This window comes from Homo sapiens, chromosome X, assembly GCF_000001405.40.
Source record: "Homo sapiens chromosome X, GRCh38.p14 Primary Assembly".
In the NCBI taxonomy this organism is placed as follows: Eukaryota; Metazoa; Chordata; class Mammalia; order Primates; family Hominidae; genus Homo; species Homo sapiens.
In genome coordinates, this window is record NC_000023.11 from 128,667,830 (window position 1) to 128,689,999 (window position 22,170).

The window sequence follows — 22,170 nt, forward strand, 5'->3', positions numbered from 1 at the left end:
CATATAAATCATATATCGATGTATGTTATACGTTGCATATAAATCATATATCGATGTATGTTATACGTTGCATATAAATCATATATCGATGTATGTTATACGTTGCATATAAATCATATATCGATGTATGTTATACGTTGCATATAAATCATATATTATATAATATATAATATAATATATAATGTATATTATAATATATATTATATATCATATATATTATATATGATATATATTATATTATATATATTTTCATATAATATATTAATATATACTAATATATTAATATAAATAATATATACTAATATATTAATATAAATAATATATACTAATATATTAATATAAATAATATATACTAATATATTAATATAAATAATATATACTAATATATTAATATAAATAATATATACTAATATATTAATATAAATAATATGTTAATATATACTAATATATTAATATAAATAATATGTTAATATATACTAATATATTAATATAAATAATATGTTAATATATACTAATATATTAATATAAATAATATGTTAATATATACTAATATATTAATATAAATAATATATTAATATATACTAATATATTTTTATATATTATATAATATATTATATATTTATAATATATAATATATTATAATATATAAAAATATATATATATTATATATTATATAAAAATATATATTTTTATATATATATGTATGTATGTATAACCTAATACTTGGCTGTTATCAGCTAAAGAACCACTGACTGTTGCCATGGTACATGTATCATCCAGTTGCCTGGCATCATATATATTCCAAATATTCACATTTGATTGAAAACACAGAAAAAGCTGTCTCATACTTCAGAAAGAAGGGTGGGAAAGCTGACTTTCTAGTCATCTTCTCCTCAAATCTATGTGTTTCTGCATCCCAAAATACTTACTGGTATCGTTCCCTGCAATAGCAAAGGAGACTATATGGCAGAGTGTGCTTGTTAAGATTAAATGGCATGGAAATAAGGTTTGCTTACATACCAGTTTATGTCTACTGTCTTGACTTGATTAATAGTGCCCCCTTTCACTCCCCAAATTATCAGAGTTTGAACTATGCATAATACGGTTACCTGAGATAAAAGGATTTGTTGAATCAACTGTTTTGGGGTTGTTCTAACTTAATTAATGTTTGGATTTCCGTCTGTGTATCCACTACTAGACATTTTCCTTTTTTATATATATTATACATTAAGTTCTGGGATACATGTGCAGAATGTGCAGGCTTGTTACATAGGCATACATGTGCCATGTTGCTTTGCTGCACCCATCAACCCATCATCTACATTAGGTATTTCTCCTAATGCTATCCCTCCCCTTGCCCCCCTCATGCTCCCACAGACCGCGGTGTGTGATGTTCCCCTCCCTGTGTCCATGTGTTCTCATTGTTGAACTCCCACTTATGAGTGAGAACATGCAGTGTTTGGTTTTCTGTTCCTGTGTTAGTTTACTGAGAATGATGGTTTCCAGCTTCATCCATGTCCCTGCAAAGGACATGAACTCATCTTTTTGATGGCTGCATAGTATTCCACGGTGTATATGTGCCACATTTTCTTTATCCAGACTATCACTGATGAGCATTTGGGTTGGTTCCAAGTCTTTGATATTGTGAATAGTGCTGCAAAAATCATACTCGTGCATGTGTCTTTATAGTAGAATGATTTATAATCCTTTAGGCATATACCCAGTAATGGGATTGCTGGGTCAAATAATATTTCTAGTTCCAGATCCTTGAGGAATCGCCACACTGTCTTCCACAATGGCTAAACTAATTTACACTCCACCAACAGTGTAAAAGTGTTCCTATTTCTCCACATCCTCTCCAGCATCTGTTGTTTCCTGACTTTTTAGTGATTGCCATTCTAACTGGCATGAGAGGGTATCTCATTGTGGTTTTGATTTGAATTTCTCTAATGACCAGTGATGACGAGCTTTTTTACATATGTTTGTTGGCCGCATAAATATCTTCTTTTGAAAAGTGTCCGTTCATATCCCTCACCCACTTTTTGATGGGGTTGGTTTTTTCTTGTAAATCTGTGTAAGTTCTTTGTAGATTCTAGATATTAGCCCTTTGTCAGATGGATAGATTGCAAAAATTTTCTCCTATTCTGTGGGTTGCCTGTACACTCTGTTGATAGTTTCTTTTGCTGTGCAGAAGCTCTTTAGTTTAATTAGATCCCATTTGTCAATTTTGGCTTTTGTTGCCATTGCTTTTGGTGTTTTAGTCATGAAATCTTTCCCCATGCCTATGTCCTGAATAGTATTGCCTAGGTTTTCTTCTAGGGTTTTTGTGGTTTTAGGTCTTATGTTTATGTTTTCAATCCATCTTGAGTTAATTTTTGTGTAAGGAAGGGGTCCAGTTTCAGTTTTCTGCATATGGCTAGCCAGTTTTCCCAACACCATTTATTAAATAGGGAATCCTTTCCCCATTGCTTGTTTTTGTCAGGTTTGTTGAAGATCAGATGGTTGTAGATGTGTAGCATTATTTCTGAGGCCTCTGTTCTGTTCCATTGGTCTATATATCCGTTTTGGTACCAGTACCATGCTGTTTTGGTTACTGCAGCCTTTTAGTATAGTTTGAAGTCAGATAGCATGATGCCTCCAGCTTTGTTCTTTTTGCTTAGGATTGTCTTGGCTATATGGGCTCTTTTTTGGTTCCATATGAAATTTAAAGTAGTTTTTTCTAATTGTGTGAAGAAAGTCAGTGGTAGCTTGATGGGGATAGCATTGAATCTATAAATTACTTTGGGCAGTACGGCCATTTTCACTATATTAATTCTTCCTATTCATGAGCATGGAATGTTTTTTCCATTTGTTTATGTCCTCTCTTATTTCCCTGAGAAGTGATTTGTAATTTTTCTTAAAGAGGTCCTTCACATTTCTTGTAAGTTTTATTCCTAGATATTTTATTCTCTTGGTAGCAATTGTGAATGGGAGTTCACTCATGATTTGGCTCCCTATTATAGGTATATAAAAATGCTTGTGATTTTTGCACATTGATTTTGTATCCTGATACTTTGCTGAAGTTGCTTATCAGCTTAAGGAGTTTTTGGGCTGAGACTCTGGGGTTTTCTAAACATGCAATCATGTCATCTGCAAACAGAGACAGTTTTACTTCCTCTCTTCCTATTTGAATATCCTTTTTTCTTTCTCTTGCCTTATTGCCCTGGTCAGAACTTCCAATATTATGTTGAAGAGGAGTGGTGACAGAGGGCATCCTTGTTTTGTGCCAGTTTTCAAAGGGAATGCTTCCAGATTTTGCCCATTCAGTATGATATTGGCTGTGGGTTTGTCATAAGTAGCTCTTATTATTTTGAGATATGTTCCATCAATACCTAGTTTACTGAGAGTTTTTAGCATGAAGGGTGTTGAATTTTACAGAAGGCCTTTTCTGCATCTATTGAGATAATCATGTGGTTTTTGTCATTGGTTCTGTTTATGTGATGGATTATGTTTATTGATTTGTGTATTTTGAACCAGCCTTGCATCCCAGGGATGAAGCCAACTTGATCGTGGTGGATAAGCTTTTTGATGTGCTGCTGGATTGGGTTTGCCAGTATTTGATTGAGGATTTTCGCATCGATGTTCATTAGGGATATTGGCCTGTAATTTTCTTTTTTTGTTGTGTCTCTGTCAGGTTTTTCATATCAGGATGATGCTGGCCTCATAACATGAGTTAGGGAGGAGTCCCTCTATTTCTATTGTTGGAATAGTTTCAGAAAGAATGGTACCAGCTCCTCTTTGTACCTCAGGTAGAATTCAGCTGTGAATCCATCTGGTCCTGGGCTTTTTTTTTGTTGATAGACTATTAATTACTGCCTCAACTGCAGAACTTGTCATTGGTCTATTCAGGGATTCGACTGCTCCTTGGTTTAGTCTTGAGAGGGTGTATGTGTCCAGGAATTTATCAATTTCTTCTAGATTTTCTAGTTTATTTGCATAGAGGTGTTTATAGTATTCTCTGATGGTAGTTTGTATTTCTGTGGGATCAAATGCTGATATCCCCTTTATCATTTTTTATTGTGTCTATTTGATTCTTCTCTCTTTTCTTATTAGTCTGGCTAGAGATCTATTTTGTTGATCTTTTCAAAAAACCAGCTCCTGGATTCATTGATTTTTTGAAGGTTTTTTTTTGTGTCTCTGTCTCCTTCAGTTATGTTCTGATCTTAGTTATTTCTTGCCTTCTGCTCGTTTTCAAATTTGTTTGCTCTTGCTTCTCTAGTTCTTTTAATTGTGATGTTAGGGTGTCAATTTTAGATCTTTCCTGCTTTCTCCTGTGGGCATTTAGTGCTATAAATTTCCCTGTAAACACTGCTTTAGCTGTGTCCCAGAGATTCTGGCATGTTGTGTCTTTGTTCTCTTTGGTTGCAAAGAACTTATTTATTTCTGCTTTAATTTTGTTATTTACCCAGTAGTCATTCAGGAGCAGGTTGTTCAGTTTCCATGTAGTTGTGCAGTTTTGAGTGAGTTTCTTGATCCTGAGTTCTAATTTGATTGCACTGTGGTGTGACAGACTGTTGTGATTTCTGTTCTTTTGCATTCATTTGCTGAGGAGTGTTTTACTTCCAATTATGTGGTCAATTTTAAAATAAGTGCAATGTGGTGCTGAGAAGAATGTATATTCTGTTGATTTGGGGTGGGGAGTTATGTAGATGTCTCTTTTGTCCACTTGGCCCAGAGCTGAGTTCAAGTCCTGGATATACTTGTTAATTTTCTGTCTGATTGATCTAGTATTGACAGTGGGGTGTTAAAGTCTCCCACTACTATTGTGTGGGAGTCTAAGTCTCTTTGTAGGTCACTAAGGACTTGCTTTATGAATCTGGGTGCTCCTGTATTGGGTGCATATATATTTAGGGTAGTTAGCTCTTCTTGTTGTATTGATCCCTTTACCATTATGTAATGCCCTTCTTTATCTTTTTTGATCTTTGTTGGTTTAAAGTCCGTTTTATCAGAGACTAGGATTGTAACCCCTGCTTTTTTTTGCTTTCCATTTGCTTGGTAAATCTTCCGCCATCCCTTTATTTTGAGCCTATGTGTGTCTTTGCATGTGAGATGGGTCTCCTGAATACTGCACACCGATGGGTCTTGACTCTTTATCTGATTTGCCAGTCTGTGTCTTTTAATTGGGGCATTTAGCCCCGTTTACATTTAAGGGTAATATTGTTACGTGTGAATTTGATCCTGTCATTATGATGCTAGCTGGTTATTTTGCCCATTAGTTGATGCAGTTTATTCATAGTGTCGGTGGTCTTTACAATTTGGTATGTTGTTGCAGTGCCTGGTACTGGTTTTTCCTTTCCATATTTAGTGCTTCCTTCAGGAGCTCTTGTAAGGCAGGCCTGGTGGTGACAAAATCTCTCAGCATTTGCTTGTCTGTAAAAGATTTTATTTCTCCTTTGATTATGAAGCTTAGTTTGGCTGGATATGAAATTCTGGGTTGAAAATTCTTTTCTTTAAGAATGTTGAATATTGGCACCCACTCTCTTCTGGCTTGTAGGGTTTCTGCAAAGGTCTGCTGTTAGTCTGATGGGCTTCCCTTTGTGGGTAACCCAACCTTTCTCTCTCACTGCCTTTAACATTTCTTCCTTCATTTCAACCTTGGTGGATCTGTCGATTATGTGTCCTTGAGTTGCTCTTCTCGAGGAGTGTCTTTGTGATGTTCTCTGTATTTCCTGAGTTTGAATGTTGGCCTGTTTTGCTAGGTTGGGGAAGTTCTCCTGGATAATATCCTGAAGAGTGTTTTCTAACTTGGTTCCATTCTCCAAGTCACTTTCATGTATACCAATCAAACATAGGTTTGATATTTTCACATAGTCCCATATTTCTTAGAGGCTTTGTTTCTTTTCATTCTTTTTACTCTAATCTTGTCTGCATGTTGTATTTCATTAAGTTTATCTTCAATCTCTGATATTTTTTCTTCTGCTTGATCAATTTGGCTATTGATACTTGTGTATGCTTCACTCAGTTCTCGTGCTGTGTTTTTCAGCTTCATCAGGTCATTTATGTTCTTCTCTAAACTGGTTATTCTAGTTAGCAATTCCTCTAACCTTTTTTCAAGGTTCTTAGCTTTTTTGCATTGGGTTAGAACATGCTCCTGTAGCTTGAGGGAGTTTATTATTACCCACCATCTGAAGCCTACTTGTGTCAAATCATCAAACTCAATCTCTCTCCAGTTTTGTTCCCTTGCTAGTGAGGAGTTGTGATTCTTTGGAAGAGAAAAGGCATTCTTGTTTTTGGATTTTTCAGCCTTTTTGTGCTGGGTTTTCCTCACCTTCGTGGATGTATCTACTTTTGGTCTTTGATGTTGATGACCTTCAGATGGGGCTTTTGTGTGAACGTCCTTTTTGTTGATGTTGATGCTATTCCTTTCTGTTTGTTAGTTTTCCTTCTAACAGTCAAGTCCCTCTGCTGCAGGTCTGCTGGACTTTGCTGGAGGTCCACTACAGACCCTGTTTTCCTGGGTAGCTCCAGCAGAGGCTGCAGAACTGAAAAGATTGCTGCCTGTTCCTGCCCCTGGAAGCTTCATCCCAGAGGGGCACCCGCCAGATGCCAGCTGGAGCTCTCCTGTATGAGGTATCTGTTGACCCCTGCTGGGAGGTGTCTCCCAGTCGGGAGGCACAGGGGTCAGCGACCCACTTGAGGAGGCAGTCTGTCCCTTGGCAGAGCTTGAGCGCTGTGATGGGAGATTCGCTGGTCTCCTCAGAGCCAGCAGGCAGGAACATTGAAGTCTGCTGACTTCAATGTGGGCTGTGCCCACAGCCACCCCTTCCCCCAGGTGCCCTGTCCCAGGGAGACTGGAGTTTTATCTATAAGCCCCTGACTGGGGCTGCTGCCTTTCTTTCAGAGATGCCCTGCCCAGAGAGGAGGAATCTAGAGAGGCAGTCTGGCTACAGCAGCTTTGCTGAGCTGTTGTGGGCTCTGCCCAGTTCGAACTTCCCAGTGGCTCTGTTTACACTGTGAGGGGAAAACTGCCTACTCAAGCCTCAGTAATGGCAGACGCCCCTCCCCCCACCAAGCTCGAGCATTCCAGGTTGACCTCAGACTGCTCTGCTAGCAGTGACAATTTCAAGCCAGTGGATCTTAGCTTGCTGGGCTCCATGGGGGGTGGGATCTGCTGAGCAAGACCACTTCACTTGACTCCCTGGCTTTAGCCCCCTTTCCAGGGAAGTGAATGGTTGTGTCTTGCTGGCATTCCAGGTGCCACTGGGGTACGGGGAAAAAAAAAAAAAAAAACTCCTGCAGCTAGCTCGTGTCTGACCAAATGGCCACCCAGTTTTGTGCTTCAAACCCAGGGGCCTTGTGGTATAGGCACCTGAGGGAACCTCCTGGTCTGTGGGTTGCGAAGACCAGGGGAAAAGTGTAGAATCTGGGCCAGATAGCACTGTCCCTCACTGCATGGTCCCTCATGGCATGGTCCTTCACTGCTTCCCTTGGCTAGGGGAGGGAATTCCCCACCCCCTTGTACTTCCTAGGTGAGGTGACACCCCTCCCTGCTTCTGCTCACCCTCCGTGGGCTGCACCCACTGTCTAACCAGTCCCAGTGAGATGAACCGGGTACCTTAGTTGGAAATGCAGAAATCACCTGCCTTCTGCATTGGTCTCACTGGGAGCTGCAGACCAGAGCTGTTCCTGTTCGGCCATCTTGCCCCTCAACCATGACTAGACATTTTCAAGCCCAGTTGCTTCAAATGAAAGTGAGTGATAATTTTTCAGTATACAAAACTGCATTAAATGTCTTCAGGACACCTCTACAATTTGGAACCTCTCCTGTAGTAGAATATTATTTGCAGCATCCAATTAAGCATGCTTTGCACATGGCCCTGGAAGCCAGGGTGTGTCCCAAAATGACATCATCCTGCACCCTTACAGTACATTGACAACCTTTAGCCATTACACTTGAAAATTGAAATCAATTTCCCTTTCCAAACTGTGCCTTCAGGGCCAGGTGTTTGTAAGGTTATTTTGGAAGTAAAAGTGTCTCCACAGTTCAATGGAGCTGATGAACTAGGATGTAGAAAACCATCCCACTGACAAGCCTATGCACTTGAGGCTGAAATGAGAGAGTTTCTGTTAGTGAATGGGTTATAGGCTGGCATTCAGATCTACTTATAAGGCCGTCCTGTGCATGCTGGAGGCAACATCCACACATTTTCCTCTTAAGTACCTTGCACCCCTCAGGGCATGGGTGAAATACAGTTGCTTTAATTACCTTGATGGCTTCAGAATATTACTCTTAAATGACTAGCAGTTAACTCCTGGGTACATAAAAGATCCTCTCAAGCATTTCCTGGAGACACTAAGCTGCTCTGGAAATAGGAAGCAGAAAGATCAAAGAGGACTCAGGTGTCTGAAATGGAGGAAAAAAACAATTAGAGCAAGGGTTCTTTAACATCAGTGTGATAAATCTGCAGATTGCGAGGCTCAATGTTTAGGAGATTTCAGTTCCATAAGTTTGAGATGGAACATAGGAATCTGCATTTTAACAATAATTGTAGGTGATCCTGATGCAGTGGTTTCATGACCACTCTTTGAGAAGTAAATGGAAAAAGAGTTTTAATTCAGAAAATTCAGGAAAAAAAATGGAAATTAAACTATCTGAAAAGGCAGACATTATTTACCCTGCTGAAGAATAATAATAAGTAGCCTAGGCAATGGTGGTCAAAACTTGGCAAAAAAAAAAAAAAAAAAAAAAAAAACCAAAGAAGTTGGCAAAAGTTGCATATATTACACTAAATATATCATTAAATATATAAAAAGCCCTACTTTTGTAGAGATTAGTTCCCTATCCTAATATCACCACCTTCAGTGCATTAGTAAAAGCAACAATCAGAAAGACGAACTTCAGTGTACAATGTGTGATTGTCTGCACACATAGTGGACAATCAATAATGGACAGATTCACGGGTAGATGGACAGTAGCATGAGATTTTTACATGGGGGAGCCTCAGGAGAGAGTTGGAGGCAGGGAGAGGATATGATTCATAGTCTATAACCACAAAACTCTCTAGTATCTTTGGATGGGACCACAGGCAAAGAATAAGAAGTGCACTGGTGGTACACCTCCCCATTATGCTCGCTCCTAAAAGCAGTTATTTTTGGCAATTACACTAAGTCCTGCACATTTTCTGACCCTCCCTCAAATCCTTTGTTTTCTGTCCCTTACCTATTTATTACACACGCAGTGCAAGTGGGCCGGGTGGATTTCATCAAACTCAGGTCTTTGCCTCACATACAAGGCTAAATTGGTATACTAGCTACCCAGAAAAGAAGTTGCAGTACATTCCATAGAAAAGAAGATACTCTGACTGAGGATAGATTCTGGGAAAATAAGCCCTTTCCACAGACCCCTGGAACTCTGAAATATGAAGAAAATGGAGTCAATAAACCTAGGAACGCAGGGGTCAGTGAGGCAAAACCAATGAGCACGTGAGATGAAATAAAAAAGACCTGGATCTGAATCCAGGCACTACCATGGGGAAACTGTCAGACCTTAGGAAGGGAATGCAATTCCTCTGAGCCTCAGTTTTCAGATCTGTACGTTGCGAATGACAATAATTTTGTCTTCTACAGGATTATTCTGAGGATTAAATGAGGTTAATGTAAAGAATATAACACAATGCTTGGCACACAGTGAGTTCTCTACACAATAAATCATCTCTATACCTATATGCCACAAGCCATAGCATATGAGGAGATCGTGTCCGTAAGAAAAAAGAGAAGCAGACTTACCTCTGTCCCGTCCACGTTGCCTTGGTGATAGAGGAAGGTGGGCTGGGAATTGTGTACTGATGCTAAGTATATATAAATACCTCAGGTAGTGTTTTTATTATTATTGCCAGCTGCTGGAGGCTTTTATTTCTATCGCCTTCTCTTCTTCCCAGGTGCTGCCTCTTTATTCTTCTATCTCTGATGGTAAGACTGAGCCTCTTGGAAAGTGGCATCATTTTCTCTGTATTCTGTATCCAGATCGACTTTGGCCAAAATGCAAAAGCTAACTAACATCAGGCAAAAATCTAGCTAATGCCAGGTAGTAACTGGAATAACTAGCAAGTGAGAGGGTTATAACAAAGTTGACTTTCACACACACACTTTTTCAAACATGCTGGTTCACGAATGTCACTGGTATTGACTGTCTGTATTCCACACTCTCAACAAATCAAAACATGTTTTGTAGAGCCTGTCAGGAGGATTACTCTGGTATTTTCTGGTTCTCATGAATAACTGTTGGGGACTTTATACACTTTCAGAACTAGTAGTGATGTCACCTTACATTTGTATAAGGATAGTGGTTTGCAGATCATTTTCATGTAGACATTCCTCATGATAACTTTGTGGTAGAGGCTGTGTGGGTGTTGTTATCCTTCCCCTCATTTTACACTTGAGGAAACCGAGGCAAGGAAGGAGCATGAGTGTTTATTGTACAACTAATATCTGCCAGACATTTTACATGAATTATCCCACAGAAATTCCTATCATCACTGGCAGGCAGGTGTTATTCTTTCTCCATTACAGATGTGAAAACAATACTGAGAGGGGAAGTGCCATGGTCAAAGTCACATAGCTAATAAGGAGCACTTCAGGGGTTTTAACACAGCACCATTTCATTTCAAAACACATACTCATCTCAGCACTACACAGTACCTCCCAGGTGGGTATACTTAGGGGCAGAACCAGTGTTCTTTCCCCAAGACCAGTGTTTCTCAAACATCAATGTACATGTGAATCACCTGTGGATTTTGTAAAAGTGCAGATTCTGATTCACTAGGTGCAGAGTGGAGCCTGAGCTTCTACATTTCTAATGGGCTCCCTAATGATGCCTATGTGGTTGGTAGCTAGTCTGTGGACCAAACATTGAATAGCAAGGTCCTAAGTCACAGCAGCAGCTCTCAGACAAAAGAGAGGCTTACACAGGCACAACATACTCTTTCCTAGTTTTGGACAAAAAGGCAAATAGAAAGTTATAGTCTTGTTTAAAATAGGGTCATTTTCTATGTTTGTATGCACATATGGTCAGCTAGGAATCTCTGGATTTAAATTCCTGATCTGTGCAATGGGCGCATTTTCAGCATTTTCCTAATTTGCCTCATCACAAGAACCTGCTTGTTGAAAATGCAGATTAGTGTTCACACTCTAGAGAAACTGAATGGGTATCTTTGGTGATGGGTTCTAGAAGGCTGCATTTCAATACTCTCCCCACTGCTGTGGCAAACCCCTATCAACTCCAATGTGGATGGCACCAGGTTCAAGAGGCCAAAGAAGAGACCCAGATCCAGCAAATGAGACCTAGGGTTTTAGTGGGGGCTTACATACAGGGAAAAGAGACCAGTTGTGGAGGTCTGGGCAGGATAACCACACGGCCCGGTGATGGCAGGCTGGGCAGAACTGCAACCGCTTGAAAAGAAAACATGTAGTTTATATAGCATTTTTACTTAGTACCTTCTCCCTAACAACCTCCACCTGGCAAGCTTCATTCAACCCAAAATTCAGGGCTTTGATCCCCTGTACAGCCAGTTTTCCACTGGATAGGCCATAGATTTAGATGTTCCTCATAGACAGGGAATGCTTCTCTGGGTTGGCTACTCCCAGGTTCCCTAGCTCAGAACACACTCTCAGGTGAGTCTGCCGTATAGTGTCATTCTCAGGGTATGCTGAAGTTATTGCTATCAGCTGCATTTACCCTACACCCATGCAATTCTGATGCCCACTAAAGCATTGGTTAAGAAGGGAAGCAGCAAAGATTTCTGTAAAGGGCCAGATAGTAAATATTTTACAAAATTATATTTACAAAAACAGGGCCGGATTTGGCATGCAGGTCTCAGTTTGCCAAACCTTGGATTAAGAGATCTTATGTTTGGGGAAGGCAAAGGAGTGAGTAGGTACCACAGACAAGTGAAACATCACAGTTCCCTCTCTTACCCCATAAAGTATCTGAAGTAACTAAGAAGCTTGGAGGGTCGGAGAGGAGATTTTTACATGAGGTTGTGTATAGAAGAGTGATAGAGACATAAATAAAAGACCCAGAGAAAGACAATGATTTGAAGAAATGAGAGACAGATGAGGTTAACACACCAAGGAAAGAGACAGACCCCAATAAAGAGAAACGCAGAGGCCAGAATAGTGGCACATGCTTGTAATCTGAGAACTTTGGGAGGCCAAGGCAGGCAGATGGCTTCAGCCCAAGAGTTCAATACCAGCCTGGGCAACATGGAAAAACCCTATCTCTACAAAAAATACAAAAATTAGCTGAGTGTAGTGGCACAAAATTGTGGTCCCAGGTACTCAGGAGGCTGAGGTGGGAGGATCACTTGAGACCAGGAGGTCGAGGTTGCAGTGAGCCAAGATTGCACCACTGCACTCCAGCTTGGGCAACAGAGCAAGACCCTGTCTCAAAAATAAATAAAAAAATACAGAGACAAGCAGGCACGCACGGAGACAAGACACTGAAAGAGGTAATCTGAAGTCACCAAATGCAGGGTAACAGAATCAACGACAAGAATATTAAACAAGGCAGAATTAAAGCTCAAAAAAGGGAGAGAGCAAAAAGGCAAGGGGAAAAAGCAAACACCTTATGAATAAATAAACCCTGAGCTCAGCTTGTTAAAAAAGGCAAGGTGCTGTCAGACAAGGCACTCTTCCTTCATTCTCCTGTGCAGAACATGGGTAAATTCAAAGCACCACTAGTGAGACGGAAAATGCATGAGACATAAAGCTGATATTTTCTGTCTGCTTTTAACTCTTGGCTCCTTCTGATAAACACAAAGCATAACTTTTCCCTTTGTTGTGATAAATCCTCTCAGGGGGTCTTGCCACCTGACCATTTGAGACTCACTGATATAAGGAAGCTAGTGTGTGTAATACTGATTTCCATCAGGCAAGAAAAGCTTATCAATCTTTACTTTCATCATAATATGGAATTTTTTTCTAAAGTATACATACCCCTTGCCCTATTTTGATATAGTCTTGTCCTCACACCACACCCCTTCCCGTCCATCCCCCAAACACACACACAGCAACAAACTTCTCCATTTCTTGAAACTCACTGGCCTAGACAGAAAACACCACACAGGGTGCAGGGTGCAGAATATAAAGCAGGACAAACACTCGAAGTGAAGAGAATGTTGTTTCTTTATAAATAGTAGAAGTAGACAATGAAACATTTCCTATGAGGGCAAACTCGTCATCCCCCTCACTTGTCTTCCTGGGATCGCCTTCTTCACAACACTTTTCCTTCTGCCATCAGTACTCCGGACCTGAGGTACTATGTACTGCTATGGCAGAGGCTATCATGAAGGAGATTTGATGCCATTTTTAACGCCTGAAAAACTTTTTTTTCTCTCTGAAAGCCCTGGCCTTAATGTTATAGTGACTAAAAGAATACGCTGCTGCTGCTTCATAAAACCAAGACAGCATGCTGATCTCAGCCCATCCTCAGTGGGTTAAGGGGTCCACTGACAGCGAAGTACAGCTTTCCTAATGTCAAAGGAAAGACATTGGAAATAGCAGCTGGGGGCATGCAAAGAGCAGTTTCCAACTGAGCTCAGCTAAGATCCCCTCGTGATAGATTGGGCAATAGTTCTGTTGGGGGTGGAAAAGGGGGTTGGTCTCTAACTTTGATAATGATATAACTTTGATCATGTAAAGTATTTAATACTTAGCACAAAATACTGGTAGTTATTGTAGTTATTATCATTACCACCTATTACTGTTACTCAGTTATCTTCAGGATTACCAATAGAGTGTAGGATAGGATAGTGACTATTAAGAGCTCAGGTTTGGCAGCCACACTTGAGTTTCAAAATGTGCCCTACCACTCCTTTGTAAATGTTACCAGGTCACTTGGGTGAGGACCCAGAGCAGTGGTCAGAGGATTTATATAAGATAGATACTAATAGTCAAGTGTCTGGGATGCCCTACACTTGCCTTGTCTCACTGCACCAACAGGGAGTCGCTGACTGCTGTGTGTGAGGGAAATAAAACAGATTCATTTCACTGCACACTTCACTGAGGGGTAGAAGTGGCAAGGAACTCACATATATGGCAGCAGGTGGGAGCAGGAAAGACCATATTGAGCAATTTGAATTGCATTGCAAATGACACTAAGACTAGAAAATTGAAGTTTCTGCTGCCTCGCCAGGAACTGGCTAAAGGGCAGGACAATTAAGATAAAGGTATAGTCCCCCAGTGAGTCAATGAGTTTTGCTCTTATCCTCATCACTGCCACAGACCTTCACCTTGGACAAGGCAGGGATACTTAACCCTGACCACAGCCTGAGCACCTAATCTTGACCAGCTGTTTTTAAAATCACAACAGGGACCCCATAAAATAGAAGGCATCTGTTTGCTTTATCCCTACAGAAAGAGAAACAATTCAAAGTAACATTTAGGGGCAGTGGGCGGGTTGCATTATCTTTGTATATGAAAAACAGCAAATAACAAACTGGGGTTGTATAAAGGAAAAAGAAGTCTTGCCTCAGTTACCTTTGGACAGAAGTTTCTTCTACAGGGCCCAAGTGTTAGGCTGACGGCCACTTTTGACTTATTGGCAGGATTGTGGAATGCAATGTCCAACGTGTATACTCTGAGGCTCCACCTTTATAACACAGCAAAGGGAGAGTGAGTTACTGATCTTTCCCACTTATCAGGGAGCCTCATTGTAAGACAAAGGAATTCTTTGCATGTTGGCCTTACGGGCTAACTTTAGCATGACCCTATGGCATAACCATTTGACTTTTTTTAGGAACCAGGTTCAGAGAAACCTGGGTTCAAGTCCTGGCTGTCCTACTTCCTAGCTACAAGATCTTAGGCAAGAGAATGTACACTCTGAGCCTCACATTTCCCATCTACAACACAAGGATTCTAATGGCACTTATTTCACAGAAGTACTGTGAGGGTTAAATAAGATCATGTAAAGTATTTAATACTTAGCACAAAACACTGGTAGTTATTGTAGTTATTATCATTACCACCTATTACTGTTACTCAGTTATCTTCAGGATTACCAATAGAGTGTAGGATAGGATAGTGATTATTAAGAGCTCAGGTTTGGCAGCCACACTTGAGTTTCAATATGTTCCCTACCACTCCTTTGTGCCTTTGGGTAATTTGTTTATCTCCTCTGTACCTCAGTTTCCTCTGTAATTTTATAATAGCCGTGCCTGCCTCACAGGATTGTGAAGATTAAGTGAGCTAACATATGTGAAATACTTACAAATGGTGCCTGGCACAGAGTAAGTGCCATGTAAATATTAGCTACTTTTAGTAGTATTTTCATAACATCTTGAGGGCTTGGCTCACAGTTCCCAATGGTGACTGATTTTAGATAACAGCATGTTCTCAGTCTGTGTTTCTAACCTTACTATCCCCACTAAAAGCCTAAATCCATCCACTAATGCTTCATCCCACAAATTAGGGCATGAAACCACATCTGGTCATTAAGATTCTGTCAGCAAAGGCACGTGCCATCACACTTCTCCAGAATCCAACCCTCTGTCATCTCCCATTTGAGAATCACTAAGATACTATAGTTGCATGTGTCATGGTAAATTATGTTATATCAATAGGTATATCAATAGGACAATGCAAAAACAGACACAACTGGTTGTGGCATGTAAGAAAATGATAAATAAGTCCCACGAATTTCAAAAGACAGTTTTCTGAAGAGAGGGCAGGTGGTAAACCTGGAAGTGAAATGAAAACTGTTCACAAATTGAAAGACAGAGTTTCTTCATTCCGGATTTGACACTTGGCCAAGTTGGAGGTCCACACAATTTATCTTTAGAGGGTTCCTTCTACTCTCTCAGTGTACCCAATGTAGGGATTGGCTCTTGTGGCACCCCAGCTAGGCCCATCTTCTCTAGAAATGATCCTTTCCCCAAAATGCCACCCCACACCCCCCTCAGCCCCACCCACACAGCTCCCTCCTATCTTTCTCCCAAAACAAAATTCTACTTCCTCAATATCTGACCTGGGATATACAAGCCTGGTCAAAGCTTAAGGCATTGCACTTCCCAGGGATATATTCCATTTTTAAAACCTCTAAGAACATGGTAATGCTTTAACCTAGGAAAATGTTTCTCTGAGAGAAAAAAAAATTCAGAGAATTTTGATAGACAGAGAGATATGAAGAGATTAGACTAAAAGAGACCTTTGGTAATGCCTATTAAATTTATTTGGTTGTTTTTCAGCAAATATATATTGACACTATGTGTTAATTCTTTCTTAGACCTTGGAACTTTAGCAATAAAAATAAGATAAGGTTCCTGCACTTAGGGAGTTTACATCCTATAGGAAAAAAATAACCAAGAAAATATAATTTTAGATTATGTGAGCAATATGAAGGGAATTTATTTAGCAGAGTGATGGGATAAGGGGTAACAGGCATGAGAGTGATTGAATATTTATTTAGTATGGTAAGAGATGATTTATTTGAGGTCATGACATTCGACTTGAGATTTGAATGATGAGAATGGAATCTGCCAGACAGAAGTCTGAATTATGATGGAAACCATTCCAGACAAGGAACGCAGCAAGGTCAAAGGCCATGTAAGGGGAATTAATTTGGTATTTTAAATGAACAGAAAGAAAAGTCATGTGGCTGAATTATAGGAAACTGGGAGCGGAGTGATAGGAGATGAGATTAGAGCGGGGACTGGGGCCAGATAATATAATAGAGCATTTGGACTTAATTCTAATGGGAAGCCTTTGGAGGGTTTTCAACAAAAGGGTGACATAATCTGACTTAAATTTTTGGAATAATAAAGCAGAAATAATATGATAGGAGACATAGGCAGGGGGTAGGTCATATAGAGGCTTCTAGAGTAAGGTGAATCATATCACATTGGTCCACAATTCTTACTTTCTTCGAAAAGTGGAGGAAAGCTTCTGAAATGTGTATATCGTAGCTTTGATAGCTTAATCTTTTTGTGGGCAAAGAACACCTTGTTTCCTTAAAATCAATTTTTTTTCATTTTGTTTCTACTTTATTTACTCTCCCCAATATCATAAATGACTTCCTCCCTGCAAACCATTTTTTTCATATGTTATGTCCTTGAAATTTATGTATCAATGAACCAAATAACTTAGCATTTGAACTCGTTTCTTATTATTTCGTAGAGAATCATTGTTCGTTCGTTTTTTTTTTCTTTTTCATCTCAACCAGTCTTTCACCCAGTGTGGTCCATAGACTACCTGCTTCAGAATCACTGTATGAGCCTATAAAAGCAGCATATTCTTGGACCTCAACCCAGACCTACTAAGTGAAAATCTCTGAGGGTAGAAGCTTGTTACTTGCATCTTTCAAAAGTTATCCAAGTGATTCTGATTCACAATAAAGTTTGAGAACCACTGTCCTATGTTTTTCATGTTTTTGCTCCTACTTTTGCCTCTTTCTGGGATACAATTTCTCCAAACCTGTTTAGAAATTCCGCATGTGCTTCAAGGCTCACCTCAAATGTAATCTTCTTTACAAAAACCTTCCTCTCCTGCTTCCTCTTATCCAGACAAATGTGACCTTTCCTATTGCGATGAGTATGGAGCAGGGTACGGCAAGATGTTAATACTGGGGTTCAGAGGACTGTTAAATACACTGATAGAACAGCTGCCATGGAGCTGGAGGAAAATTGCTGACCTGAAGTCTGACCTTACTCAGATTTATTTTATGACAGTGGAATCACAGACTTACGAGGCTTGCTTACTGAATTCCCAGAGACTCTGGGCTAGAATAAATCTTAAGGGCCATAGTGTATTTTCCTTGACAGTCCATGCTATATGCATGTCTAAGACAGGTTTCTCTAAGGTTCTCTGCCTGAACATTCTGTGGACACCTAGGTCATACACACTTTGTATCTCTTTTTTTTTTTTAATGTAGATTGTTAGGCTTAATGTCAAACCTACTGAATTGGATTATCATGGGGTGTGGTCCAAGAATTTGACTCACTTTCATTAATGGTTGATTATGTTATTTCACTATGTTGTTCATTGAGAGCAATTAGAAAAAGGGGACAAAAACAAACAAAGCAAAAGCTATGTAAAGACACCGAAACAATACCAAGGGAGAATATTCAGGGCCAAGATTGGAAAGAAGGCAGAAGGCAGAAGAGGTGAGCCTAGCATTTGGGGTTCCTCTTTCCCTCAAGACAATTGTTAATTGTGAAAGAAAATGCAGCAGTTTGTCGCTCAGAAGCTAAGAAAAGTGCACTAGAGTCTCACAGGGCTGGAATGAATATAAATTGAAATTTAGATTCTGCCAAGGTTTTCTGTTAAATGTTGCAGATTTTCTTTTTTTATTATTATTATTATACTTTAAATTTTAGGGTACATGTGCACAATGTGCAGGTTAGTTACATATGTATACATGTGCCATGCTGGTGCTCTGCACCCACTAACTCGTCATCTAGCATTAGGTATATCTCCCAATGCTATCTCTCCCCCCTCCCCCCACCCCACAACTGTCTCCAGAGTGTGATGTTCCCCTTCCTGTGTCCATGTGTTCTCATTGTTCAATTCCCACCTATGAGTGAGAATATGCGGTGTTTGGTTTTTTGTTCTTGTGATAGTTTACTGAGAATGATGATTTCCAATTTCATCCATGTCCCTACAAAGGATGTGAACTCATCATTTTTTATGGCTGCATAGTATTCCATGGTGTATATGTGCCACATTTTCTTAATCCAGTCTATCATTGTTGGACATTTGGGTTGGTTCCAAGTCTTTGCTATTGTGAATACTGCCGCAATAAACATACGTGTGCATGTGTCTTTATAACAGCATGATTTATAGTCCTTTGGGTATATACCCAGTAATGGGATGGCTGGGTCAAATGGTATTTCTAGTTCTAGATCCCTGAGGAATCGCCACACTGACTTCCACATTGGTTGAACTAGTTTACAGTCCCACCAACAGTGTAAACGTGTTCCTATTCCTCCACATCCTCTCCAGCACCTGTTGTTTCCTGACTTTTTAATGATTGCCATTCTAACTGGTGTGAGATGGTATCTCATTGTGGTTTTGATTTGCATTTCTCTGATGGCCAGTGATGGTGAGCATTTTTTCATGTGTTTTTTGGCTGCATAAATGTCTTCTTTTGAGAAGTGTCTGTTCATGTCCTTCGCCTACTTTTTGATTGGGTTGTTTGTTTTTTTCTTGTAAATTTGCTGGAGTTCATTGTAGATTCTGGATATGTCAGATGAGTAGGTTGTGAAAATTTTCTCCCATTTTGTAGGTTGCCTGTTCACTCTGATGGTAGTTTCTTTTGCTGTGCAGAAGCTCTTTAGTTTAATTAGATCCCATTTGTCAATTTTGGCTTTTGTTGCCATTGCTTTTGGTGTTTTAGACATGAAGTCCTTGCCCATGCCTATGTCCTGAATGGTAATGCCTAGGTTTTCTTCTAGGATTTTTACGGTTTTAGGTCTAACGTTTAAGTCTTTAATCCATCTTGAATTGATTTTTGTATAAGGTGTAAGGAAGGGATCCAGTTTCAGCTTTCTACATATGGCTAGCCAGTTTTCCCAGCACCATTTATTAAATAGGGAATGCTTTCCCCATTGCTTGTTTTTGTCAGGTTTGTCAAAGATCAGATAGTTGTAGATATGCAGCAGATTTTTCAATTGGTATCTTCAAATGGCTATACCCTAACAATGAGGGTGAAGCAGAAACAGCTGAAACCTCAAATGGCTAAAGCCCAGCTTTGAATCCCTTTAAAGTAATCTGCCCCTAGCCTAACTGCATGGCAGAAACAAAAAACAAATTATCTCTAGAGGAAGAATAACAGTATTCAGAATTTTGACTATCTTTATAATTATTCATACATGAAGTGTGATATTTAATCGAAACATAACCATTAACTCTAAAGGATAAGAACTACCCAAAAGCTAAGAAAAGAAAATTGAAAGAGATTTATAGGGGATCCAGATATTGAAGATATCAGGCTGAGAATCAAAGTAATTATGACTAATATGTTTATGGGTTTAAACAAAAAGATGGAGAATTATGGTAAATAGCTGGAAATTCTAAAATAAAATTAAAATTCTAGAAGTAAAAAATATAATTTATCAAATTAAGGACTAAATCCCTGAGTTTAAAAGCAAATTAGACAACACAGAAGACATTAAGGTAGGTAATATACAGACCTGTCCAAAGCATGTAGAGGCAAAAAGTGGAATGCAACTAAAGCCATGCTTAGAAAGACAAGTACTTTTCAGTGCACATATTAGAAGAGAGGCCCAAAAATCTATTATTTTGGCATATATCACAATACATTAAAAGAAACATGAAAACCAGAAGAAACCTGAAGGACAAAATGGCAAAGATAAAAGCAAAAACAGAAAACATCCTTACCAAGGCCAAGAGTTGTTTTTTTAAGACTAATAAAATCGATAAGCCTCATTACAAAACAGAACCAGAAAAAAAGAGAGACTACCGGGAGTGGAAAAGAGAATGTGATCACAAATATTTCAGACATTTGCAAAGAAATAAAATATCATGAACAACTTTTTGCCATTAAGTTAGAAAATTTAGATGAAATGAAAAATTCCTTAAAAAAATTATAAAAACTGACCCAAGAAGAAAAATAATATCTGAATTCTTCTCTACCCATTAAAAACATAGAGTCTTTAAAACCTTTCAGGTCCAGATGGCTTTGCTGATTAATTACACAAACATTTAAGAGAGCAATAATTCCAATCTCACACAAATTCTTCCAGAGAATAAGAGAAGATATAATTTCCAATAGTTTTTTTTTTTTTCTGGTGGCAAGCATGACCTTGATAACAAAACTTGATAATTACATTACAGGAAAAGAAATCCATAATCCAATCACCCATGAATATAGACATAAAATTCCAAAATTCCTCAACAAAATCTTACCCAACTGAATCTAGTCATATGTCAAATGAAGAATCCATAAAAAACAAAACCAAATCATTGTATTTCAATATATAAACAGAATCAAGAAAAAAAAATAATCTCAAATGAGGCAGATAAAGCATTTTATAAAATTTAGCATCCATTTATAATTTTAAAAACACTTTGCCAACTAATAGTAAAAAGGAACATTGTTATTTTAACAGAATACATCTACATAGAGTTTATAGCAAACATAATACTTTATTTATTATTTATTTTTTATTTTTTATTACACTTTAAGTTCTAGGGTACAGGTGCACAACGTGCAGGTTTGTTACATATGTATACTTTAAGGTGAAATGATGAAAGCTCTCTTCCTGAGATCAGGAACAAGTCAAGAATGCCCCTCATCACTGCTCAGATTCAGCATTATACTCAAGAAACTCACTGGAGCAAGAGATCAAGGAAAAAAACAACAAAAGTTGAAGGACTAAAAGGAAGAAAAAAACCTCTCAATATCTTCACATGAAATAATTATATATTTAGTAAATATAAAATAATTAAAAGTAAATTATAATGAATTTAGCAAGGTGATTACATATGTCAATATACACAGATTGATTGTATTTCTACATACTATCCACAAATAATAAAAATACAGACTTTTAAAGCTAATATGTATAAAAGCACAAAGAAAGAGAAAAGAAAAAGACTAAATACCTAGGAATAAACCTAATGAAAGGTGTTCTATTTTAAAAAACTCTAAAGCATTATTGGTAGAAATTAAATAAGACTGAAATGGAGAAATTAAGTCATGGATTAGGAGAGTCAATATTTTTAAAATGTTGATTTTCCCAAATTGATCTGGCTACAGATTTATCATAATTCCAGTTAAAATTATAATATTTTGGTGGATATTAGTAACATAAATCCAACATTTAATTGAAAACATAAAACATCAAGAATGGTCAAGGCAATCTTGAAAACAGAGAACAGTATTGGAGCACTTATACTACCAGATAATCACTACTTATTATGAAGCCACATTACTTAAGACAGTGTGTTATTGGGACAGATATAGATAAAGAGATCAATAAAACATAATATGAAGTCTAGATACAGAACAATACATATGTGGATACTTGATTAATGACAAATAGGTCTGGAATGCCATGGAATGAAGTTCTGGATTACTTGTATATACATTGGGAAATAGTGAAACATGATACTTACACCATGCACAAAAATAATTTCAGGATGGATTATAGATCAATATGTGAAAGATAAAACTGC

The 22,170-nt window shown here is 38.5% G+C and overlaps 1 long non-coding RNA gene across 1 annotated transcript in view, besides 1 other annotated feature; it reads right to left on the reverse strand.

The window, feature by feature from the left end:
• LOC107985698 (uncharacterized) overlaps nt 1-22,170 on the reverse strand; it is a 375,495-nt gene that overhangs the window by 345,633 nt on the left and 7,692 nt on the right. Inside the window, exon 3 of the long non-coding RNA XR_002958819.2 lies at nt 14,515-14,626. This is a non-coding gene — a long non-coding RNA (uncharacterized LOC107985698). The remainder of the gene's footprint in view (nt 1-14,514; nt 14,627-22,170) is intronic.
• Nucleotides 6,766-7,266: an enhancer, noted in NCBI's record as "H3K4me1 hESC enhancer chrX:127808573-127809073 (GRCh37/hg19 assembly coordinates)". NCBI's record gives its function as "activates a minimal SCP1, AML or CMV promoter by ChIP-STARR-seq in naive H9 embryonic stem cells {active_cell/tissue: H9 hESC(naive)}" and the evidence as "EXISTENCE:reporter gene assay evidence [ECO:0000049][PMID:30033119]".